Source organism: Homo sapiens, chromosome 3 (genome assembly GCF_000001405.40).
Source record: "Homo sapiens chromosome 3, GRCh38.p14 Primary Assembly".
NCBI classification, from domain to species: Eukaryota; Metazoa; Chordata; class Mammalia; order Primates; family Hominidae; genus Homo; species Homo sapiens.
In genome coordinates, this window is record NC_000003.12 from 59,727,980 (window position 1) to 59,754,637 (window position 26,658).

Consider the following 26,658-nt stretch of genomic DNA (forward strand, 5'->3'; position numbering starts at 1 on the left):
AGGCCAAGGGACAATTTAGGAAAGGTTCTATTCTGAGTACATAGCCAAGGAAGTGTGGAAAGGCTGTTGATGCCATTGTTTAGAAGTTAGCCTGTCATTCATCATGATTGAAACATAACCCCAATGGCTTCCACAAGTGTAATAAAACGCTTTGCAAAAGGTTGCAGAATTGCAGGATGTAATAAAATCTGCTTAGCTTCATTTCCAATGCCGCAGAGTTCTAGAGAACGAGACCCATTTCCTTATGCCTTGGGATTTGTTCAAGTTACTTTCATGCCTGAAAATGACGGAACATAAAAACAGACATTTAGTTAGAATCAATAGTATCTTTTGAGTCATGGCAATAAATAAAATATAAGTTTGTTTACTGCTAATCTTTTAGATTGCCATTAGCATTTTACAAGAGGCCCTGTTGATAGGGATGAATTATATAAAATAGATGGACTGCAGCCCTGCTGATGCCTGCAGTCACTCTGGATTCTCACATTTCCTGTGGTCTCTGGCTACTGCCCTTGTCACCAGAGGTCAGTGGCATGGTCTCTTAAGAGTGTCTGTTATAGACACAAATCTTACCTAGAAACAAGCCAATTCAGGTCTGTATTAATTAGGTGAGGACAGGATCCCAAACAGCCATTGTCAGAATTGCCTGCTGACCACTTGTTAAAAACACAGATTTCTGGGCTCTGTCTCCTACATGATGACTTAGCAGGTCTGGATAAAGGCCCAGGAATCTGTGTTTCTTGGCAGGTTCTCCACATCTGAGTTGTTCAACCCCTGGATGTTGAGGTGCTGTGCAGGAGGCAGAATGAGCTTTGCTTCAAGGCCAAGACACCTTAAGGTCAAGTATCTTAGGCCAGGCCTAAAACAATTTCCACTCATAAAATGGGAACATAGGGAGAAAGTCCTTTAATCTTATTTGGCAAGAAAATGAGGAAATCCCTTGGTGGTATAGTGGTATGGTGGCCCAGCTCCACATCCAGGAGAGCATGGGAATGCATCTCAGGGCTCTGCCCCCTCCACCCCCGTTGGAGCCTTAGCTTCCGGGCCTTAATCATTGGTATCAGTAAAATGAGTGTGGTGAGGAACTGGGCTAGCTGGGACTGCTAGTTTGGAGGACATTGAAAGCAGAGTATCATAGGAAAGAGAAAATTAAATAGGAGGGAAAAAAAATGAGGACTTCCTGGGTTATATTTTATAAAATTTGTGAAAGATTGCAAAAAGGGTGCTAGGAGATGTTTGGGGTAGCTCCTGAGGACTAAGCTCTGATTTTTTAAATCTTGCCCAAATTCCTCCTATCTAAGGGGTCTGGGGAGTCATGCCCTACAAACCACAAATTCTCATCAGATGGGTTTTATTTAATCCTATATATTATGACTTACTTTCCAGTATGACTCTGGCATAACATTATGTGATAAAGAAGAAAATCAAAATATTTTACCCCAAAACATGTTTCTTTGCCATATCTTGAAATGGCCCTGTAAGGCCGTCCTTTGTGGGGGGAAATGTGCATCTGTAAAGAATCTCTCTTAACGTAGCTAGATCTTTTTATTCCAAGCCCTCCCAATCCTGAGGAGATTAACTGAGAGTCTAGCATCTTTTAAAAGTCTGAATAGGAACATTTGTCATCTGTTCTAAGGGCAGCCACTATGAGACTGAGTCTCCACAATCTTTTATCTTCACCTGAACATTTCCTTTCTATTAATCCCAGGTCTTTAGACAAACTCAACCAGTTGTCAACCAGAAAATGTATAAATTTACCTATAGCCTGGAAGCTTCCCTCCTCATCCCCCACACCAATTGTCCCGTCTTTTTGAACCAAATGAATGTATTTCTCGAATGTATTTTGATTGATGTCTCATGCCTCCCTAAAATGTATACAACCAAGCTACACCCCAACCACCTTGGGCATATGTTCTCAGGGCCTCCTGAGGGCTGTGTCTTGGGCCATGGTCACTCATGTCTGGCTCAGAATAAATCTTTTTTAATATTTTAGAGAGTTTGACTTTTTGTTAACACTACCGTGGGTGTGATACATGAGGAGATTTTTGAGAAACATTGCTGAGAAACACAAATGGACTTCTCCTACGTCGTTTTCAAGGGATTTCAGTGAAGATTTAAATGGCTTTTCACGTACTGTTTGCTGTTTGTAGCTTTGAGTGCAGTGCTACAGGCACAGACCTGGGAAGCTGAGCTGAGAAGACCCAGCTCCCTGCTCATTTCCATTCAGAACCCAAGGTGAGTCCATTCAACCCCACCTTGGTGAGGACACACCAGCACCCACTTCAGCCTGTGGTATATGGAGATTTTTCTGTGTCTAGTACTACACTTTTCTTACAAATTAGTAACAAAGTCAGAGGTCAAAAGGCAGGAGATCCCTTTGGAATTCTAGTTTATCCCTTCTGGGATCCAGAACACAGAGGCCGAATCACTTCTGCTTCTAACCTGCATCAGGAGGCCTCATATCTGAGCTCAGGATCCCTTCCCTGCGGGCCCACTGAGGTCTGTAAGTGAGGGCTGGAGAGTGGGGTATAGGTACCAGTCAGTTTGCTGCCCCGGACAAGGGGATCTGTCTCATTCCTATATGGCGTTGGGATGATCCACTATTGTGCCAGCACCATCCACCTTGTCTGGAGATACAGGTCATCTTCTGATCATTTATCATGGCCCTTGTCCTTGAATAATTATTGACTTTGAGTCAGAAGAACCTGCGCAGGCCTGAAAATGGATGTGCCCTTTCTTTTCCTCTGTCTCACTTGTCTTGGGCAGATTTATGTCTTAGGAGAAGTTTCCCTCGGTTCTATTTTTGGTCTTCTGAACACTGTGGCCCTGTGTTCCTTCCCACCCTGACTCTGTCCAGCACCAACTCTGTAATTTCTGAATCTCTGTGGATGCCTCTATCCGTCCCTGAGGAGGCCTCTATTAGTCTACTTGCAATGCTTCTGTGACTCCTCTGTCACAGCTTTGGCCTGGCTTCTTAAAGCTCTGTCTTCAGCCGTTTCATTTCCCCAACTAGCCTGGAAGATTATGGGAAGCAGAGTCTGCCTTTCATTCTCAGGTATACTGGGTGAGCATGGCAGACTTTGAGGAGTGAAGGTTTGAGTCTGAAGTCCACTGCATCATTTACCAGCTGTGTGTCTCTAGGCAATGTGAACACACCTCGTGGGGGCTGTGGAGAGAACTAGGTGGGTTAATATACAGACAGCACTTAAGGCCCTGTCTAGCACATTATTATGCTCACTCAATGAGAGCCTCTGTTATTATCATTATCATCACTAATTCTTTGTGTTGCATTGCCAGCAAGACTCATGAGCGTCAAAGCAAGTGAAAAGTCGGTACTCAGTGACACTGTGGGATTCTACCTCATTACTGGAAAGGGTGCATCTGGGCAGTGCATGTGTCTTCCCATCTTCTAGTTGGATTCCTCTCACAATGTGTCCCTCTTCATATAGCTAGTTTCCTTCCATATTGCCTTTAGAATAGACAGTGGTGCTGTTCAGTGTTATCTGGGCATAGCAACAAAAGGATTTACTGAAATGCAATTAAGCCTCTGAGGAGGTACAAAAAGGGCCCTGAAAACAGGTGAATGGCTATTTCCTCAAGGTGCTTCCAACCCATTTTGGGAAATACTTCACACAGAGTGAAGCAAGGTGGTAGATAACTAGGGGTCAGGTGAGCAGTCTAGAATATGTGGGCTTCTGGAGTTCAGGGGACAAAGAGGGCAGGAGCCCAGAATGCCAAAAGTTTGATCTCTATGAACATGTATGCTTTTCAATTTTCAATTATTTCTAAGTTCCTAATCAACATAGTAGCAGATTACCTGCCCCTTACCTCCAGCCCTAAAAGCATGCTTGAGAAATAGTAGGTAGCGAGTACTGTGAAACTCATTATAAGGGGTTTGTTTTGTAGAGTGGTGAATGACGGCAGAAGGGGAGCTCTGTTGCTGTGGACAGTAGAGGAGATTTTTGGAGACGGCAGCTTTGAATTTGGAAGAAAAATGAAAATGTCTGTTAGAGGAACTTGAGGTTTTGTGTAAGATTTGCTGAGGGTTGTGGGCTGTAACTTTCTCATCCATCTCTGCCTGAAACCTACAGGAAAGTCTTTGAGGTTGGCTAGTGTTTTATTGTATGACTTAGTGGGCACAGAGTGAAAGCAGAAGTATCAAAGGGGTCCCAGCTTGCGTCCGAAGTGAACCACCCTGACTTCTCCTTGAACGTGTGGGTGTCATCAGGCCCAGTCTTGTCTTTCCCCACCACCTCTGTGTGCATTCAAGGCAACACTCACCTTTTTACCAAGCGTGTAGGTGAAGAAGGCTCCCACCTGTTACTCCTTTCCCCTAGACTTTCACAGACCTAGAGGAAGACAGCCTCTTCTGCTTTGAAGCTAAGAAAATAGATGAATGTCTGTGTCTTCTGTGGGTGAACCTGGATGGGAGCTGCCTATAGTCAATCTAACTTGTTAGGGTGAAAAAGGAAGGGTTGACACCACAAAAACTCAGCAGGCCTCCGCCTTCCTCTTGTTTCTTTAAGGTAGTGTTTCTCAACTTGGCTGCTCATTGGAATCACCTGGGAAGGTAAAAAAACCAAAATGCTATGCTGCCATCCTGCCCCCAGAGCTTCTCAGCTAACTGGTCTGGAGCGTGGCCTGCGCCTCTGGAGGGGAATCATTGACTGTGAGGGTGATGAGCTGCAAGCCTGCCTCCACTTTGACTCTGGTACAAAATATGCTCCCAATACATTGCCCCAAGTGCGCCGAAGCAATTCAGATGCAGTAGGTTTCAGTTGCAAATATTCAACTTGACTAAGGTTGTCTGTTTTTAGTACTCATAGCAGAACCATGTGAATAGGACAGTTGTCCTTTGAGGATGTTGCTCCTTGCCCACGAGGATTAATAAAATGGCCTGCTTTGATTCTATGCAAGGATTGACACAGACATGGTTTTAAAATGAAGTAACCACACTTACCAATAAATCAGTCTGGAGACACAAACATAAAACTCCTCTTTAACAACTCTCTTCTTTTAAAGTACCTGTTGTTCATTCCTAGCAGGCTAGAGATACAGGCTGAGGCAGCCACAGAAAGTCATTCTGCTCACACCAAAAACAAGGTGAGCAATTTTCCAAGGGCAGGCACCCCTGACCTCTGCTTTTCAGCTTTTTCTTAATAAACTGGTCTCAGAAATTGGACCACAGAAGCTGCTGGCGGCAATCTCTTCTAGTAAGTGGGTAAAGGGAAGCTGAGGGAGAAATGGCAAGGGTCAGAGAGCCACTCTGATGAGTATCTCTGAGGTGATGCAATTATACTTCCATCTAGAGATAGGAAGGGGTTACCCCCAAGTGCAGCAGCCCCAAACCCAGCAGTGTGAAGTTGGACTTAGGAGAACAGAGCGACTGCCCAGTGAGCTTTGTAACTCAAAACTATTCCTCCATGGCACGTTGTACATGTTCATGAATAACACAACTTCCTGCAGTGAGAAAGTGTGAATTCCTGTTAAGCAGGGTCTGTTTTCCAATCCACTGTGCTTGCCTCCTTGAGGGCACAGAATGGATAAAACAGCCCCACACACCATGTGGCCAGTCCCCTCAAGAGGAGAGGTGCAGACAGACATCTGTTTTGCAGTGAGGTGGAGGTTCACTGGTAACTGTGGTTTATAGAGCGACCACAGACTCAGCCTTGTCAGTTTTCCCTTTGAAGGGATAAACTCAACATGAAGAACAGCAAACGCAAGAAAGATGATCCCAAAGCTTGTGCTTGGGAGTGAGTGACCGCAGCCTGCAGGGCTTACCATCTCCTGGCAAATGAAACTGCTTATACTTAGGTGCAGAACCAGGCAAATCCACCCTTAGAAAACTTCCACTACCACTGGGGCATTCCTTTGCTGCCCACTTGAAGCCAGCAAGGCTTCTGTCTTCTGTGTTTGCTCCATTTACATCCACTTCCCCGTGCCTGTGCATAGCCAGGACGCCCCTCTCAACAACTTTCTCCTCCCGATGGGGCTTATGAAAGACGGGCTTTATTTGTCTTAAAATCTTCAGCTGATATTGCTCTTCTCTACAACACAGTTGAAATGAAAAAGGATTACTTTATATTTACTTGCATTTTTCGTGAGAAAAACTAATTTTGAGAAAGAAAGTCCCTACAGTGTGAAACAGTTTCCCTTCCTTCAAACCCTCTGAAGAGGCAAAGGCAAACCTAAAAGGCATACATGCTTTGTCATTGACTTTCTCTGACAGCTGCTTCTTATCATGTTTTTGAGGGTGACCTTCGTCCAGCATATTCCTTAGCTGTAAGTTGCACTCTCCTTTTATAATCGAATTTAGAGCCAAGCATGGACCAGGCTACCTTTGATAATTAATGGCTCTGTGAGTTTGCTGAGTGTGTTATTTAATTAATGGCGCTTGTGTTTGGAGTGTGTACAACTCTGTAGCTGAATAAAAGGCTTATTTGCTGAATTATTACAGACATATACCCAAGGATTGTCACACTGAGAATTTGTCGGGGTTCGACACATTTAACAGCCTAATGGGGTTATTTTTTTTCTTTTCCACCATTTAAAGGTACTGAATGGGTATAACTCTGTTCTTTTGCCTTTTATATAAGCTCATACTACCATCTGAGAAAATCTGTAGGCTAATGGATAAAAGTCTATTACCTGGAGCAGGACCTTTGAGAAAAACAAAAAGATGAAACCTTTAATACTATATTTTGAGTATGAAATTGATGTTCAAATAAGTTATAGTCTACTTCAGTTCCTCATAAATAGGTTAACTTGAATTATGTTCAAGTTCTACTTGGGATCAAAAGATCACGGGTTGAAACCTGGCAAGAAAACACGGTTGAAAGCTAGTAAGAACACAGAGTATCTCACGTGACCTTGCTTTTCCTGAGACTCCAGTCCCAGAATAAAATGCGTATTGCGGCAAGACAGATATGCACATATACAAATGCCTTCTAAATATCCTGTATGGAAGCATCAACAGGTGAATCTCTATGGACTCATCTCTATGTGTTCAGTAAGAGACTGAAAATATAAAAGGTCTGGTTTTAAGCTGTGTCGTTTCTAGGCTTTGTCATTCTGTGTGTCTGGGCAAGTTTTATACCCTCTCTGGGCTATAGTTTGTTTCTTTGCAAAGCAATAGGTTGAACCATGTGCTCTTTAAACTCCTTTCCAACCCAAAGAGACTCAAAGTCTCTAATTTTTCCAAAGAGGGATACAAAGTCCACTATCCCAGTGATAGAAGAGTTAGTTGATTGCTTACTTTGGCGACCTGAGGTTCATTTTTTCCCAGAAGGGACCTTTGAGTATGGGAAAAGCCATATCCATATGCCCTGCAAGAGGGCTAGGAGGCTAGTCCATTCTCTAAAGCCCAGCCGTATGGTCCAGGAGACAAGAACTACAGCCAGGGACCTGCTTTCTTCCATCCCACTGGAGACCCCCACTGACGGAAAACACTGGTTAAAGCATAGAAGGAAAAAAAAGCACTATTGTAGACTGGGTACTTAAGGAAGGCCTTTCTGAGCAGGTGACATTTCAGTCAAATCCTGAATGGAAGAAGGAAAGAAGGGAGGACGCTCCAGGCATCAGGGGACTAGAAGTGCAAGGGCCCTGAGATGGGCCTAGTTTGACATTCTTCAGTAACATCAAGGTAGCGGGAAGGCTGGAACTGAGAGCCTGAAGGGTTGCCATAGGAGATGAGACTGGGCTTGATTCTAAGTCCTTTACTGTGCTGTGCAAGGCCTCATGTAATCAGGCCCTGGCTGACTCTCCAAAGTGTAGAAGAGAAGCATGATCTGGCTTCCATTCAAAAGGATTGTGATTTTAACCCATTTTCTATTTTAATGTGTTCATTCTCTTGTATGACCTTGGGTGAGTTTGAGGGTATAGATACATATTTTAAGAGTCACAGTCAACAGCTGATGTATAATATTCTATATAAGTTATATTTTTAACTGCAATATCATAAAGTCTTGCCCAGAACCAAGAGTTACTAGGTTTTGCTGAAAATGTTTTTCTTTTACATTGTTGTACTACTTTTACTTTCCATTGAGTCTTTTTCTTCAAAACGATTAAAGAAATTAAAACTAACCACATACAAGATCTCCCACTTTAAAATTTAAAAAGTGCCCTGATAGATAGATTTTTTGAGAGGAGAGTAATAGAACAAAACTTTGATAGGGGTATCCAAGAGAAATGCTGATTCACTACATTAGGTATATTTCTTTTTCCAAACTCATGACTCCAGAATCTGCAGGAACCACAAGAGATTGGATGAGAAGCTGGGGGCAGAGTTCTAACAGCAGCCCAAGCCTCCACAGTGCCAAGATGGGCCATCTGCCTGTGAGAAGGGAAAGCTTCCACTTCTCTTAGCAATGACTCTGGCTTATTTCTAATTTAGCAGAAAAAAAAAAATGATTCAAGCAATATCATGTGCTTCTATATCTTCAAAGCAATACCACACCATCAATTAGCAGCTCAGCGTACCAACAGTTCTAAACTTTTTGCGAGCTTCTTGGAAACAAGATGTGGAGCTTCAGCAGAAGAAAATTGGTAAGAACATCTAATTACATTAAAAGTCATTTTTGCCTGTCTTAAAGGAATGAAAATGATCTGCCGGTTTTTATAGACCTTCTTGACCCAAAGATATCTGCTGGCAGAAAGAGAATCCTCAATTGGGTTCTTTTAATGCTTTAATTATTACATGATCTATCATCTTACGCACTGACTTGTACACTTTGAAAAATCCTTTAAATACGGATTAAAATTGATTGGCTAATCCCAGACCTTAGGGTGGAGCTTGGAGGGCATGTAATTGTGTGTGTGGGCTCAGGGGGTTAGACAGGAATGACACAGAGTCAACTACTTCATAGTGGGATAAGGTGAGAAATCAATTTGGTCACAGGTACAGTTGACATTGTACTGCCAACTTGCACAGAACTCAGTCACACGCCCACTTGTTCTTGAATCAGTATGATTGCTTCAACTTCACCATCGGCTCCTACAAGGCAGGGATGAACTTCACCTAGTGTGCCTACAGTGTTTGGCATCTCCTGCCTTAAACTTCTCCAAATGATGAGCAAGATGACTTATAGGAACTTCAAATCTACCTCACCCCAGTCAAGGGCTTCTCTCTATGTTCATAGACTAAATGGTAGGGAAGAATTCTGATTGGATGAGCTGGAGTCACATGCCCAGAACTGTAGGTTTTGGATGGGATTGACAGCTCCAAATTCAAATGTCTACTACACTCCATCCTGTACTCTGCTTGGATCTCTCGACAATTTTTCAAATGTTTTGGAATCTAAGAGCTAACTGCAAACTCTTGGTGGAAAGCCCTATCTCTAGAGCATGTGCTCACTGAAAGGTCTTGCATGAAGCCCTTGAGAGTCCTCACTGATCCCAAGAGTGCAGTATCTAATGCGTTACAGTCCAAGGTTGATTAGCCGTGATTCACTCCTGCTCATGGAATGCAGTTTCAGCTTTCAGACACATACTCAGTCTGTAACTGTTGCTGCATAAGGAAACAAGGGATAGCTCTGTTTCCTAAAGGGTTAGGAATAAGGACTAGGCACTACCCAGCTCTCATAACCACTTCTAGCAGGTGGTTGTGACAGCTGGATAAAGTGATCCAAAGCACAAGAATCATCAAATGCTGGCTCTTTTCCTGAAGTTAGTGCAGAAGCTAGAGTAAGGTATACCTTGCACCCCAGCTGCAATGGACAATTCTTGCCTTTGGTTAGCTAGAGCTTATGTGAGGGATGATGTTTCTAAACAGAGAGCCACCATTTTTAGTGAAAAGGTAAGTGTGGGCTCCAGAGGCAGACTGCCTGGACTTGAACCCTGACTCACAAAGTATAACCTGAGAGACCTTGGGGCAGGCAAGTCACACAGCTGCTGTAAGCCTCAATTTTCACATCTGAAAACCAGGGCAATACTGGAGGGTTGTTGTGGGGTTTAATTGAGTAAAGTCTGTAAAGTGCTTGGTATAACTTGCCCATGGTAAGCTCGTCAAAAGTGGTTTTATTAAGAATTATTAATAATATAGCCTCTTCTCTGTGGTGATCTCCATTGCTCACTTCCTGAAATAACGATTTGTTTGGCCAGAGTGGCCTCTTCAAGTCAGGGAGGATGGTCAGGAAGAGGAGTGCCACCTCCCTGATGTACTGGTAGTGTGTCTGTAAAGATTATACACAGCAATTACTCTTTTTTTGTTTAAGCCTGTTATGAAATACTTGAATATTCAGCCAGCAACAACATGTCAATCTCTTTCTTTTCTTCCTTTTTTTTTTTTTTTTTTTGCCTAACTGAAAAATTTTCATTTATCTGATGTGCTAGTCCTTTTGATGGTGAAATATAACACACATACAGAAACATGCAGGAAATATGTACATGGCTTACAGAATTAATATAAAGCCAACACATGTCTTGCCAACACCCATGGCGAGGAACAGAACATCGCCAACCCTTCCACTTTCCCACCCCACTCACTCCACGTTCCCTTTCCAAATCACGGTTCCCTTCTTTCTTCCCCCGCAAAGGTAACCACGGGCCTGACTTTCATGGTGAGTGCTTCCTTGCTTTCCTTATAATTTTACCTTCTAAATGAATGTATCTCTAAGCACTGTAATTGAATTTTGCCTGTTTTTGAACTTTATGTAAATGAAATCACACAGTATGTGTTCTTTTGGGTGTTTCTATTGTTCCATATTCTTGCAAACACTTGATATTGTCAGTCCTTTTACATTGTGACTATTCTCGTGGGTGTGTAGTGGTACTTTACTGTGTTTTAAGCTTATATTTATTTCCCTGATGACTAAAGATTATTGGCCATTTCAATATCCATTTTTTTGTGAAGTGCCTGTTCAAGTCATTGTGTATTTTCTATCGGGCTGCTGACTTCTTATTAAATATAATGTGTTTTTCTTTGCTTCCTTTTTCATTTTATATTGTCTTCTGGACACTAGTCCTTTGTTGATTATATATGTGGCAAGTACTTTCCCCTCCACCGCAGCTTGTCTCCTCTCTCTCTCAATGGTGTATTTTGACAAACAGAAGTTCTTAATTTGAATGTAGTCCAATATATCAATCTTTTTTTTCAGTAGTGCCTTTTGTGTCCTGTTGCAAAAGTCTTTCCCTATAGCAAGATTATGAAGATATCCTCTTATAATATCTTCAAAGCCTTTAAAATTTTACACTTCATGCTTTGAACTACAATCTACCTGGAACTCTCTTTTGCATGTGGTGTGAGGTAGGGTTTCTTTTCATTAGTTTTCTACATGGGTATCCAATTTTCCAAGAACTATCTATTGAAAAAAATCTTCCTTTTCTCATGGCTCTGTAGTGTCATTTTTATCATAAATCAAGTGTTCATATATGCCTGGATTTGCTTCTATGTCCTCTGTTTTGTTCTATCAGTCTATTTATCTTTGTACCAATACCATGCTCTCTTAACTCTTATAGCCTTGTAATAAGTCTTGATATCCTGTAGAGTGAGCCCCTCCAATCCTTCTAATCTTGTTTTTTCTAAGTCTCTGGCTACATTTCCATACGCATTTTAGAATCAACTTGTCGATTTTTACCAAAACCTATGGGAATTTGGAACTGAGTTGCTGTGGGTTTATAGTCAACTTGAGGAAAATTCAATCTTTATATTAATAAAATTGAGTCATTTACTTCTCCATTTATTTAATTTCTCTTTAATGACTTAATATTTTACATTTTTTGTCTATAAGCTTACATACCTGTAATTATTCCTAGGTATCTGATTTTTGATGTTAAAAGCAAACTTTAAAACTTTTCATTTTCTAACCATTGTAGCTGATACAGAGAAATTTAAAACATATATACACACACACACACACACACACACACACACACACACACACACCCCTTAGATTCAGAGGCCTTGCTAAGTTTACTGATTAATTCTACTTGTTTCTCTATAGATTCTTTTGGGTTTTCTGCATATATCATATTGTCTACAAATAATGACAGTTTTATTCCTTTATTTCTAATCCTTCTACACCTTTTGTTTATTGTTCTCACCTTTCTACACTAGCTAGGACTTCAAGGACATTGTGAAATAGAAGCGTTAATAGTGAATATCTTATCTCATTTACAATCTCAGATGCATAGTGTTCATTTCATTCCTGAGTATAAAGTCCCTTCCACTTGTAGCTTTCCTAGACCTTTTGAATTTAAGTTAGATGTGTAATTTGATCAATAATTTTATTTGCATCTACTAAGACGATCCTATCATTTTCTCCTTTATTAACCCAGGGAAAGACATCATTTGAAAGTCTAATGTGAAAACAAAGTTGTATTAGTCATGATGTCTTATCCTTTTCCCAAATCGTATATGTGCGTGCATGTACAATCTGTCTGTCATCTGTCTGATATCTCTTAGAATTTTGACATTTGTGTTTCCAAGTGCAATTAGTCTATAGATTTCCATTCTGTAATGTTCTTGCAATGTTCATTTGTAACATAAATCATACAACAAACTGGACAATTAAAGAGTTTCTTTTCCCCCCCCTTCTCTTTGGCAGAATTTGAATGAGATTCTTATTTGTTTCTCAAGTACGTGGTAGAATTCACCAGTAAAGCTATCTGGGCCTGAAAATTTCTTTGTGGGAAGGATTTTATTTCAGACTCAGTTTTCTTTAATTAGAATCCAATTTTATTCATATTTTCTTTTTCACCTTGTGTCAGTTTGTGCTAGTTGTATTTTTGAGAAGCTTGTCTATTTAATTCAAATTTTCAAATGTATTGCTCTAACATTCCTTTTTAATGACTATAGTATCTATACAGAAGTTTGCCTTTTTCTTTTTAACATGGGTTTTTGTTTCTTCACTCTTTTCAAAGACCCTACATTTGGCTTCATTGATCCTTTCAATTGCATTTGTGTTTTCTATTTTATTACATTATGATTTATTGTTATTTCCTCCCTCTTAATTTTGTGGTTCTCTTTTTAACTTCTCCAGAAAGATGTTTAGCACATTAACTTACTTTTTTTATTTTTTTAATTTTAATTCTTAATTTTTGTGGGTTCATAGTAGGTGAATATATTTATGGGATGCATGAGATGTTTTGATGCAGGCACGCAATGTGAAATAAGCACATCATAGAGAATGGGGTAGCACAGTAACTGTTGACTTTTCTTGAATAAGGGCATTCAAGTCATAATTAAAACTAAATTACCCTCTAAACACACCTTTAGTTGCATCCCCAAGTATGAGTTTTCTTCAGTCAGTTCAAAATAGTTTCCAACTTCCACTTGATTTCTTCTTTAGTGCAGTGGTACAATCTTGGCTCACTGTAGCCTCGACCTCCCAGGCTCAAGCCATCCTCCCGCTTCAGCCCCACAAGTCGCTGGGACTACAGGTGCATACCACCATGGCTGGATAATTTTTGTATTTTTAATAGAGACAGGATTTTGCCATGTTGCCCAGGCTGGTCTTGAACTCCTGAGCTCAGGCAATCCACCTGCCTCAGCCTCCCAAAGTGCTGGGATTACAGGTGTCAGCCATCACACCTGGCCCTTAGAATTCTTTTAGTGTAAGTCTATTGGTGACAGATTCTCAGCTTTCATCAGAAAATGCATGTATCTTACCTTCATTCATGAAGTCATTCATTCATTCATATTAACTGGGTATGGAAATCTAACTCAGTAGTTCTTTTGGCTCTCAGACATATCCTGTGGTCTTCTGATTTTCATTTTTTTGTAGTTGTTGTTTTTGGTCTAATTATGACTTCTTTGAAAAGCCAGTGATTTTTTTCCTTCTTAAGTCTGAGTTTCTCTTTGTTTTTGCTTTTCTGCAATTTTATTGTAATGTGTCTAAGCATGGAATCTTCACTGATGCTTTGATTTTGCTGTGTTTCGGATTTTTGGATTGGTAGCTTTTCCTGGTTCTGAAAAATTGTCAGCCATCGTCTCTTTAAATCTAGATTCCACTGAAACTCTGTTTTCTCTCCCCATGGAAATATGAATAAATATCTTTCAACTTTCTCCCTGTATTTTGTCTTCTGTCCTCTTTTCTACTTTTTCCTCTACTCTACCTCTTCATGTTTCAGTCTGGTATTTTCATATGGCTCATCTTTGAATTCACTAATTCTCTTTCTGGCTGTGAATAATGTGTTGCTAAATTCATTCGAGTTCTAGAATTTTTATTTGGTTATTTTTCTCATGATCTGTGTCTTTTCTTTGTAATAAATTCTAGCTCTCTGCTAAACTTAAAAAACAATCTTGTCTTTTCTCTCCATAAATAAACATAGTTAATTTAACATCTATGTCTGATAATTCCAATTTCCAGGTAACCTGTGGTTCTGATCTTGTTTGTATCAATTTCCGTCTTAAGCAGCTTGAGCTGCTATGACAAAATATCATAGACTGGGTAGCTTAAACAATAGAAACTTATTTCTCATAGTCCTGGAAGCTGGGAACTCCAACATCAAGGTGCCAGCAAGGTCGGTTCATTCTGAGGCCTCTCCTCTTGGCTTGTGGATGGGCCACCATCTTGCTGTGTGCTCACGTGACCCCTTCTTTGAATATGCATAAAGATAGAAATCTGATGTCTTTTCTTATCATTGCACCTACTCCACCCTGAGGGCCCCACCCTTGCGACCTTATCTAAATCTACTTACCTCCTGAAAGCCTACCTCCTAATACCATCACATGGGGGTTAGGGCTTAAATGAATTGTGGAAGGACACAACATTCAGTCCACAACAACTTGTCTCATCACAGGCCTTCTGTGTTTGTGTGTGTGGGGAGGGCACTGTGGCATTGGGGGGGACAAACATTCACACATATACTGAGCATTCTGTTTGGAAACAAATGTGAGAAATAATTTCAGGTCTTGGTTGGTATTACTTTCTTCCAGAGAGGATTTTCTGGCTTCTGCCAGGAGTTTAATGGACTAGCAATTTGAGATCACCTTAATTCAATTTCCAGTCATGAGTTTCTCACCTGCCCAGATGATTTGAAGTTGGGCTGTAGTTGGTGTAAGGGCTCACTCTTATTCCAAGGGTATAACTCTCCCAGATCTTTGAATTCCCACCCAGAGGTGGAGGTTTAGCAAGGAATCTACCATTGGAAAACTGACTATTGCTTTATCTCCACTTGCCTCTCTGAGGCTCACAAATGCCCTTAATGGAAAAGCAACCTCAAACATGGGGCTCACTTCTATGGATTTCTGTCTTCCTTGGCTCTTGGTCCTATAATCTTTTGCTACCTTCCTACTTCTAACAGATTTTTAGAAAGTTCTGTGTAGTCTTTCTAGTTGAACACAGTGGGAGGATTGAGTCAAATTATTTGGCCTTTAGTAACAAAAGCAGAAGACACACTTTTTTTTTTTTTTTTTTTTTTTTTTTTTAGTGGTCTGAAAACCTCCTGCCCTACAGATTTAATTCTTTAGTTACTGCTTGAACTAATTTCTCATTACCTGAATATCCCTATAATTTATCATCTTCAAAATATACTAGAAATCAGAAAAAAATAATGTATTTATACTATTGACATACTGGTTTCCCATTCCATTATTTTGTGTTTTCCTTATAATAACCCTGGGATATAAGTAAAATGCTTTCTCTATCATTATAATTCAGAGATTAGGAAATTGAGCACAAAAGAGCGACACGTCCAGGTTCAGAGAGTAAGTGTAGTGGCAAACGTTGGTGGGGTTCCACTTTAAATTATTTAAAGATATTTGCACTGAGAGTAGAAACCAAACTGACAAGACAATTCAGATGCCATTCTTAGGAGACTGCAGAGTGTCTTTTTATACTTTCAGTCGGTGGTGTATATGCCTGGTGCTTAGGACAGGGGATTGGAAAACAGGTTTCTTGTTGGGAGAGAGAGAGGCGCTGGGACATAATTTTCACCAAACTGTAATGTTCATTTTATCAGTCTTTTGTTTTTAAAGCACATTTTAAAAAGTTCTGTGTAAAACACAAGACAAACATTTGCTCTGGAGGACACATTACCTGCCACTTGACTTTTTCTTTTGATTCGGTATCATTTACATGAAGCTCTAGTACAGGGGGTAACCCCATGATAGGGTTGTAAAATCCAGTGCAGTGAGGGCTGGGGAGATAAAAGAGGAGGTGGCAGACATTCGTCCCCTGAAGGAGTTGGGTATAAGACAGGAAAAGTTTATTCCCAGGATGGCTTCCTTAGCACTCTCTTCCCCTGTCTTTGTATGGTTCCTGACCTCTCCAAAAATCATGTTCTGCCTCAATTATCTGTGTAGGCGAAAAGAAGGAAAAACAGGTTTCTGGAGGAAGAAGAAGTGGCACACACATACATTTAGTCTGGGGTGTAATTTTACCCCACTTACACCACTGGGACAAGTGGTGACATTTTAATTAACAAGATGTTCCCTACTTAGCTCTATCCTCTCTTTTCCTCATTGTTGGGAGGACTTTAGTTTAATACATAAGACACTCACAGTCTCAATTGCCCACCACTCATGATGAATTTGAGGTGGTAGAGTACACTGAACTGCTTCTTAGATAATCAGAGAAGTATTAAAGCCAGAAGGAGCACAATCTAGAGCTGACTTTGCTAGTGTACCCTGTATTGATGATCCCGGTTAAGTATGTACATAATACTTGATTGATGCCCCAGCGTGTCAAAATAATGGAGCATTTATTATGTAAGAAGTGGCTGAGGGACATTTTAGGCACAGGACCAAATGAATTGCATAAATATTAGCTATTATGAAGCAGTGGGGTCAAAGGTTATAAATGTGAATTTTCATAGCCTTTCTTCATATTAACCTTCCACACTGTCTAGAAGAGTCTTCATTCTCACCCTCCTTTCAGGCAGAGACAGACAAAAAGGCAACACTGAAAGGAGCACACTATGGAGAGTGGAGAGAAGCAAGTACAAAAAGAAAAGAAATGTCTTAGGAGAAGAAAGATTTAGAAAGTTTTTGCTATATAAGAGTATGCAGATTAATATGCAGTTATCCATTGCTGGAGATGAGGATAAAAATGATGAGGGTGACAATGACAAGCTTTATTTTATTGTATTACAATTTGATGGTATTACCATTTTGCAAGATGTAAGTAAGTAAAGCCTGAAACTCTTAAAAAATTATCTTTGGCTATTTAGATTATACTTTTCTGAAAAGGACTCTGTGGTAATGAATCATGTGGTTTCAAGATTCACATGCGTTAAAATTACTTCAGGACACTAGTCATTTTTCAATTACCAGTAGAAGTAAATCTCAAAGGAAGAGTTCTGCAGATTCTTGAGCCATCAATGGCCTGTAGGAAATCTTTTGAACAACTGGGTACATGTTGGAGAAAGTAGGGTCTTGTTAAAACATTTTAAAAATAACTAAACTAAGCCAAAAATCCATTTTGGATCCATGGGGTAGACTGTCTCATAGAATGTTTCTAAAAGGAGGTTTTTAAAGTGTTGTTGGATGGTCCCTCTTTTGAGTTGCTGGAACATAAATCATTTGAGACATTTGATTTGATGGTTTATAAAGTTTCCATGACTCTGTGGTTTATTATTCCCAATTTAGGCACAGGGAGTTGGTTTATATTTATCTAATCCAGGTAATAGAGTATTTAATTTCCTGTCACTAAAACCAGATTCTAGAAATGTAATCATCTAAATAGAATGAGAGGAGAGGCAGCCAGATCCAACAGAAATTGGACTGGAGAAGAAGGGGAAAAAAAAACAACTGAAATCTCCCTTCTGGCTTCTTTTAAAACAATGGGTCCTTTGTCAGGCAAAGAGCTTTTTGAACACACTAAGATATCTTTAGCCTTAAAAGAAGTATCTTCTCTTGTACCTGTAGCCTAAAGAAAATCTATTTTCATAACAATCTGGGAACGGCTGAAAGAGTTTCATAATTGTTCTGAAACTTGGGGATGGCTGAAACATTTACATTGGTACTGAGCTCCTCACATGGGGTTTATCTAGTGGGTTTAAGATTAAATTGGTGATGAAGCTGAATTTAAAATCCACCTTTCCCCCAAGAAAATATGAGAGTACTATGATCAGCTTCCTGGGCCTTTCTCATTAGAGGCTTCTGTGCTGACAGTGGAACATCTCTGAGGTGGTTGAGATTTGGGGTAGATTTCAAAAGGTACAATTTACAGACCAGAACATGTGCTAAATAGGCAAACCTGTCCTTTCTCAATCACCTTGACTATCCACAATTATGATATAAGGGTGATCCAGTGGCAGAAATTATGGTGATTTTTCAAAAACGCCAGTGTTGAAATTTTGCCTTGACAGTACATCTATAACTACTAATAATGCTGTATTGGGCTGACTCAGTTGCTTTGAAATTGCATGGTCCCATTATGAGTAAATGAGAGGCAACCAATTATCTATAAAATAACGACGTGCACAGAGAAGAGCTTGATGAATTACAAGTGAGCTCTGCTGACACAACAGGGTGTGGAAACCTGCCCTGCTCTGACTTTCCATCAGAATTAGGGGTGATGCTTGCATATTTTAACAACATATCCCCCTCAATTCTAATGTGGAATGGGAGAGGGGAGGATGGGGAGATGGCAAAATCTTCCCCCCTAGTCACTAGGACACATGCCATTGCTTTAAAATTAAGTAGAAAAACTGCTTGGGTGTATAGTGGCAGCAAATCCAAGTATCAATACCTGCATAAAGAATTACCATCCTCCAGGAAGAAGGCAACATTAGATAAGAAATGCAGGTCTCCTGTCATCTAATGTGATTTAGAACATAGACTAAAAGAGCCATTGCAAATCCCTTGTCCCGGAACTCAGTCCAGTGTGTAGGGAGCAAATGCATAAATTCACCTATGCAGAGAGCAGACGCTGAATTCCTGGAACGAAAGGATTGCCAGCCTCATCAAGGATCTGTCACATGGTGAGTGAGACAACTGCAGCTTCATTCAGCAACCCTTGGGCTGTTGAGCTCCTTGTGCATGGTGAAGGCAATAACCCTTTCTCACTACTGCTCAAGAAACTGCAATTCAAAGTCATTTTCTGGTAGGCAAAGGATACAGAGAGAAGCTAAAACACCAAAATGCAGGTGCATATAACCCTGGAGGGTTATATGGGAAGATAAAGAGAGTTCTTTTACACAATTAATCTGATGTTGGTGTCTTGATGGCTTCAAGAGGCTGAGGAGTCAGTACATAGTTTCAGAATGTTTACCTTTGTTGTCCTAATGGTACTCTTGCTATGCTGAGGATTAATTCTTTATATGTAAGGAAGATATAGAAATAATACTTACCAAGGAGTTGCTAGGTGTATTAGTTTGTTCTCATGCTGCTAATAACCACACACTCAAGACTGGGTAATTTATAAAGGAATGAGGTTTAATGGACTCGCAATCATGGAGGAAGGCAAAAGAGGAGCAAAGCCACATCTTACATGGCAGCAGGCAAGACAGCGTATTCAGGGGAAATGTCCTTTATAAAACCATCACTATCAATCATGAGAACAGCATGGGAAAGACCCTCCCCCTTGATTCAGTTACCTCCCACTGGGTCCCTCCCATGACATGTGGGGATTATGGGAGCTACAATTCAAGATGAGATGTGGGTGGGGAAACAGCCAAATCGTATAACTAGGTATGTCCACCCCAAACATTAAGTCAAGAACATCTTTTTGGTCTTATAGTCTTTATTCTTATATAGGGCATCTCTGGATATAGGTGTTCACATTCTTCTTTGCAACCTGTTGGTTTTCAAGACAGACTGTCGGCAAGCAAAATGTCAGAGGCAAGCACTGAGATTTGACCCATCAGCCCTAGGGAAGCTGACTCTTTGGTTTTCCCCCATGCACCTTGTCTTCTTGATATGCCTGCAGGGGTTGGGGGGAGGTGGGTGGGTGGAAAGGAGTACTGGTTTAGGGTTGAAGCAAGTCTAAAGCCAGCTTGCTCTGGGTTTAAGATCTGGCCTCCACTGCTGTTTCTCCAAAGTTGGGAGTCAGTCATATTCCTGTTTAAGATAATCTTAAGTGATCTACATTGAATCTCTCAGTAGGTTATTCTCTTTAATCCTTCTGAATATGCCAAATGGAGAGTTTCGGTTTGGTGCTAGAATTAAATGCCCCTCTAATGGTGGCTAGCCTCACTTTTTAACACAGAGACTGAATCTCACTCCTAGTTGCTAAGGCAAGCAACTATGCAGAGCTGGAAATCATCAGCATTGTTTTTCTCTTATGTTTATTTTTATGCTTAACTTCTAATTACAGGTAGTACTTGTTTTTCTTTGAGGCTGAAATATAAAGTTTAAGATATATATACTAAAATTCAAAAAGTGAATCAAGTAAATAATGCTCTAGGTGGTCCACAAAGATAAGAAAAATCATGACAAAATGGGAATGAATGCAATTTGGGGAACACTGTATTCGCCCAAGTGATGTTTATTTAGGCATGTGGTCAGATGGTAAAGAAAAGAAAGTGGGAGGGTAGCCTAGGCAGGATTCAGCATGATCTGAGAATCTTGCAAGTAGAACCAAGTTGGTTGGGGAAATCCAGGCCCATTTTGGTTTCTGCTACCTGGCTGTAGTGTGACCAGGGAGGCAGGTGCTGGGCAGGGTTGTATTAACAAGGCAGGTAAGGAAGAAGTCCAGCAGGCGAGGAGGTGGGAGGTCCTCAAGGCAGAAATAGGCCAGTAGATAAGGTGAAGAGGCTAAGAAGACTATTTGGAGGGTACAAGGGGAGATGGGACAGGGAGAAGGAAGTGGCTAGAGAGGTGAGCTCTTTTAGCAAGGAGGGCAGTACACAGACTAAGAGAATGGCCTTTAGGGTGGGACTGCCTGGATTCAAATCTGAGCTTTGCCACTTACCGTTGGCCTTGAACTAATAATACTTAACATCCTTAAGCCTTAGTTTTCTCATCACTTGCAAGACAGGATAATAACAGGGTCTACATCTTATAAATTCTTAGCAAGTGTGTTGGCTAGTGTTATCAATTCCAGGGCTGAGCCCTATCATGTCTGCCTCTGTGCATGTTGAGAATTGTGCAGTTTTGCAGAGTGAGCACCATGAATGTCTTTAAACTTGCTCTGCCTAAGACTAGCTTGCTGCTGAGGGAATAATCACGAAAGCTGGAGAAGGCCAAGTCTATCTGACCTTCAGATTAACAATTTTTAAAGTCTAGCTATGTCCAAATATTTCATAATTGCCCTATTTACTAACACATTTCAGGGGTTTCATGAACCACTTAATGTATAAAAATTCAATATGTAGACATTTTTTTTGAAAAGGGAAGAAATAAGCAGGTGGACCAATCCAACGATTGAATTTCCTTTAAAAAAGTAACTGTAACTGTAATAGGTTTGTTGCCTAATTCATGGCAAGTCAATACACCGAGACACAGGGTTGCAGCAGAGAAGGAAGTTTAATCATAAGGCTGCCGAATAAGGAGACAGGGGGAAACCTCAAATCTGCCTGTCTGAGCCGTTTAGGTCTAGGTATTTTAAGGGAGTTGGAGTGACCGAGGTGGGGGATCACTGGTTGAAGAATACAGGATGGTGAGATGAAGAAACTGCATTTTCATGCTGATTCAGTTCCTCTTGGGGAGAGGCGGGGGGCGGTCTTCAAACTGGTTGGCAATAGCTCTTTTGCTGGAATTCAGGATCTGAAAAACATCTTAAGCCATTTTTAAACAAACAAAGGCCTTATGATTCTAACATCAGAAATCTTCTCTGTAGGAACAATGAGGAGGCAAATGGTTAGCATCTGGTGCTCTGGGACTTTTGGTTACGAAGAAGTGGGCCAAAGTGCAGCCTGATTAATGCTTAATTACAACTATATTTCTGTCCAGAACCCAGCATCTAATTCTTGTTAACCCTGTGAGGATGGTTTCAATAGAATGTTTCCATTGTCCTTAAAGGGAGGTATAGTTAGTCCCATTATACTCCAGGTAATGATGACAGTCTTGGCAAAATCTTAGGACCCTAAGTTGTTTGCCACCTCACAACCTATATTATCCGTCCTAGTCTTAGTTACCACATCTGACTGCTGGGAAGACTGAGGGTGATTTGTTTGGTCTGTGCACAAAACCTTTAAAGAGAAATACACATGTTAGTTAACTTAAAAATCCACAGGTACTGTGGCAATAGTTTGTGTAACAAGTTAGGGTAAATATCTTTCTGGTAAGATGTACAAGGGAAGTCAATTTACCTGGAAGACAGGAGGTGTCAGGCCTCCAGGCAAGACAGAAGCAAAAACTGACAAAACAAAGCCTACAGGAAATTTGGGTAATAAGTTTGAATCTTCTTAAAGTTCTTAAAGTGTCTAGAAAAAGCATTCTAAGACAAAACTCCTACAATTCAGCAAGCCTTGGGAAAAAGGCTAAAGCTTTCTAGCCTCTACCTGAAAATACCCACTGCATAGAAAACCCAGGAGAAAAAATTCAACCTAGGCAGTCAAGTCTGAGGTATTGTCACCCCATTTAAATTTGAACAGGGCACTCTAAAATGACATACTGGCCTTCATAAGAGGAACAGAAAGAGGTTTGTAGTCATGCCCATAGGCCTATGTTCTTAGGTAAACTAAACTAGCTTGATCCTTAAAAAACGAGAGAGAGATGGTGAACAGTGGAAAAGGTTCAAAATAAAATATGAAAGACAGCCTCTGTTATAGCACTTGCCATATCCCCCCAGGCAACTGAGTGCAGAGCTGACAAACTTATGACATGGGAGAATGAAATAAGCTTTCTAGAATGCAAGGATCTGAGTACAACACCATATTTGAACAACAATAGGGGGCAAGGTAGTCTGGGTCTTTAACTATTTAGAATACTCTAAAAAGAGGGCTGGGGAGAGAAAGGCCAAGTGCACATATATTTAAAGCTATCCAGTAAAGACTTACTTACATTTCAAGGTGAAATCAGAATACAATGAATGTGTTTTCTAGCTAAAAATCATGATCACTAAGTGGTTGATACAATTTTTTCCAATCAATTGCTAACAGCATTTATTCACTAATTTTGTTTTTTATTTGTGTCTGATCTACTTCTGCAACTTATAACATGAACATATTTATTCACAGGTCAGATGAAGAATTGCCTAATTTTAATTTGGAATTATCTAATTCTAAAAACAAAAAAGAAACTATTTATAGGAGAGGATCTGTAACTGGGGTCCATGGGAGTTTATTAACAGGTTTGCCAGAAAAAAATACAAGATACCAGTTAAATTTGAATTTCAGATAAACAAGTAATTTTTTTAGTCTAGATATATGCCAGTATTGCATGGTAACCCTATATTTATAAACAAATTTCAGAGAGATAGATACATTTCTCTCTCTCTCTCTCCTGTTTTTTTGAAACTGAGTCTTGCTCTGTCACCCAGGCTGGAATGCAGTGGCATGATCTCAGCTCACTGCAACCTCTGCCTCCCAGGTTCAAGCAGTTCTCCTGCCTCAGCTTCCCAAGTAGTTGGGATTATAGGCATGAGCCACTGTACCTGGCCTTCTTTAACACTTTTTGTTTACAGGCCAAACATCACCCTCAGTCATTCCAGCAGTCTACTATGTGAACTGAGACTAGGAGGGATAATATAGATTGCCAGATAGATCTAGGCATGAGCTCGTTAGACACTGCATAAAAATTTGGAGTAGAAGCATTTTGACAAGGAAATTGGCTATAGCTATCTTTCTACCAGAGTCTTAAACCTATGATCTCTCAACAGTTAGTCATCATTAAGACAAAGATTAATTCTATCAAGCCTTGACTTTTCCCTGTGGCCTGAGCTTCCTAGGAGCCGAACATAAAGGGAAACATGAAGGGCAATTTACCAAATAGCAACTGAAGAGAAGAGTCCACTCAGTGAAAGCAGAGGAGTTTGCCCGGGGGCGTGTTAGGGAGGCAGAGAAAGCTGGTTTACAGGGCTTTGCAGACAGACTTGAGCCTAAGGGCCATGTCACACCTTTAAGTTAAGTTGGGGTTGACCTTTTAAACAAGAAGTTGTGCATGACAGAAGGTCTGCTTTGTGAACATTGGATTCTGGAGGAGCACCACCGCAGGAAAGACTGGAGAAAGGTGGTGGTGGGCTGGGGGCACTGGCTTGGAAGAAGAGAGTGAAGAGGCAGGAGAGTTGGAAGAGACTGGGAGGCTGGGAATACAGTACTCAAGGGCCAGGGTTTTCTCCCCTCCAGCTCTTTGTCCTTTGCAGCCACCACCCAAGGATGCTGGTGAAGGTGTTTTTGTGCATCCCCATTCTGAGAGTGCAGCCTCTTTCCTGAGGCCCACGGGAGGGTCTGGGTAATGACGAAATGCAGTCTTTACCTGTGTCACTGAAAGTAGACCCGCAGAGCTGCGGCTTCTGCTGCCATTTCCTCCTCTGATCTCCAAGAGGCAGGAAAGTCCTCCTTGTCATGTTTCTGGAGCTTTGGAGAAAAAAAAAGGAAGAGGCTCTTTCATGGGCCCTTGGGATCTCCTTGAACAAATTTCGGGGGGCTGGGGGAGACTGAACAAAATTTGCAAATTAGAGGCCAGTAGGTGTATCTTTTAATTGTTTCAGTTGCTACAACTTGCAAATAGGCTTTATACAAGAATCCACATTTAAAATAATCAGATCATTTGCCATCTTGTAATCATCTACTGAGGCTGAGGGGGGTGATGATATGATATAGGTCTGTGTCCTTGCCCATATCTCATGTCAAATTAGAATCCCCAGTGTCAGAGGTGGGGCCTGGTGGCAAGTGACTGGACCATCAAGGCAGAATTCCCCATTGGTGCTGTTCTCATGATAGTGAGTTATTGGGGGACCTTATTGTTTAAAAGTGTGTAGCACCTCCCTCCACTCTCTCTTCCTCCTGCTCCAGCCACAGAAGACGTGCCTGCTTTCCCTTCCGCCATGATTGAAAGGTTCCTGAGGCCTCCCCAACCATGCTTTCTGTACAGCCTGAGAAACCAGGAGCCAATTAAACTGCTGTTCCTTATAAATTACCCAGCCCCGGGTAGTTCCTTATAGCACTGTAAGAATGGACTAATACAGGTGATCACAGATTGGGATGAAGTGGGGGAATGGGGAGCATTTGCCATTCCCAGAATCTCCCCCACACTCTTCTAATTTTCTTATGTTTAACAGGCATCATTCATTTATTTTACTTCCTGGATTTTGAAGGCATTGAGTTTGCCACCAACCCATAATCCCCTCCTTCAAGGTGGCCTGTGGTTTACCTCCTACTCTCTTTGGTTTAGACTCTCTTGCATGAGCTCTGAGCAGTTTTGTTCAGTGAACCAAATTTATGATAATGACACAAGGGCCATGAGAACTGAGTAAGTAATAAGTATTTCCATTAAAAGAGGGTTCAAGCAGGGAAACAGTAAAAAAGAGATTAAATGAGAAAACAACTTACAAAAAATTAACAATTTGTCTCAAAATTAACACTTGAATCATTTAAATTCCTCCTCAGATTACAGGCATATTTAAAAAATTGTGTGTATGTCTCAGATTTACATATAGAGTGAATACAATTTCAATTCTATCAGAGAGGATGTTCTCAGAACTCTCTTCCTTAGAAATGCTCAATTTTCTCCCTTAACCTCCTATTATGATTCAATTTCATTAACTAAATTTATTGTTCCTGTGTGTGGCTCTATACATTGTAAAATGCCGCAGGTTATCCGTTCATTCTTCATGGGAATGCACAGTGTAGTATTTTGTGTTATGTGTTAAAAGTCATTTGGGATTGAGACAATTTAATAGCACCAATGATAGCTAGCATTTATGATGTGAAAGGCGCACATTATTTCTTTGATATACATTATTTCGTTTAATCCTTACAATAACTCATAAAACTGACGCTACTTAACCCCATGTTACTGTGGAGGAAACTGAGTTCTGAGGAAGTTCATACCCCGGTCCAAAGATCACCCAGCTAGGTAGTGGGGTAGGTGCCAGTATTATCCCCAACAACTTTTGCCTTTTTATTCATCCTGAGGGATCTACAGTGTCCCTAAAGAGCATCCCACAGATACTGTTCCACTCCATTTTGAAAAAGGTCAACTTAACGATTAAAATATCGACTTTTTAAAAGTTGATCCTTTAAAAATAATTTTGCCAACTCAGCAAAAAGTCTATCAACTAATAAATGACTTTTGCTATCTCAGGCCCCAAACTCTAAATCTAACCTAGAGGCCTCTACCCTGGCAGCTTGCAGCAGATGGAGAAATTTCCCCATTTATTGCAGCTCAACATTGATACAGAAGGCAAAACAGTGAGGGAACCATAGCCTCGCACTCCCGCTGAGCTGTATTTCCACTCCTGGTAAGTAAGTTTGAGCCTAAATGAGGCTCATTAGCATATAACCGGGCCACAGATACATTTATGAGGGTCATGGATCTTCCCTTCAGAATTTGGCTGCCAGCACGCTGATTTTACATTTTGCCATGTAGATTTAATTCTCCTTAGTGAAAGAAAACCACATTAAGAAGTCATTTCCTTTCTTGCAGAGGCAAACATGCTGCAGTTGCTACAGGCAAGGCAAACGGGATTGCTATTCTTCTACTCAAGAACTAATTTTCATTTTGATACTACCTTGACGTCTGTTATAAATCCATCTTATCTTATAACAATTCAATAGGATGACAAAGAGATATGCAAAGCCCAGGAAATATGGCCTTCCCACTTCTGCTACTGCCATTGGAAGACACAGAAATAAAGCATTAAGTGGCCTCAACAACACAGATCATACCAG

General features: G+C 40.7%; 1 protein-coding gene and 1 long non-coding RNA gene across 9 annotated transcripts in view; one reads left to right on the top strand and one right to left on the bottom strand.

Moving 5' to 3' along the window:
- CFAP20DC-DT (CFAP20DC divergent transcript) overlaps positions 1-26,658 on the top strand; it is a 724,471-nt gene that overhangs the window by 641,140 nt on the left and 56,673 nt on the right. The window lies entirely within an intron of this gene.
- The window catches only part of FHIT (fragile histidine triad diadenosine triphosphatase), a 1,504,176-nt gene continuing 1,496,815 nt past the window's right edge, over positions 19,298-26,658 (bottom strand). For 4 of the 8 annotated variants that reach the window (NR_135491.2, NM_001320899.2, NM_001320900.2 and 1 more), the window contains one exon: positions 19,298-24,342. Coding sequence is in view for 7 of the 8 variants with exons in the window: in NM_001320899.2 (NP_001307828.1) it covers positions 24,247-24,342 (96 nt within the window). In the remaining variant the exon portion in view is untranslated. The remainder of the gene's footprint in view (positions 24,343-26,658) is intronic. The other 4 variants (NM_001354589.2, NM_001166243.3, NM_001354590.2 and 1 more) reach the window with 2 other exon arrangements.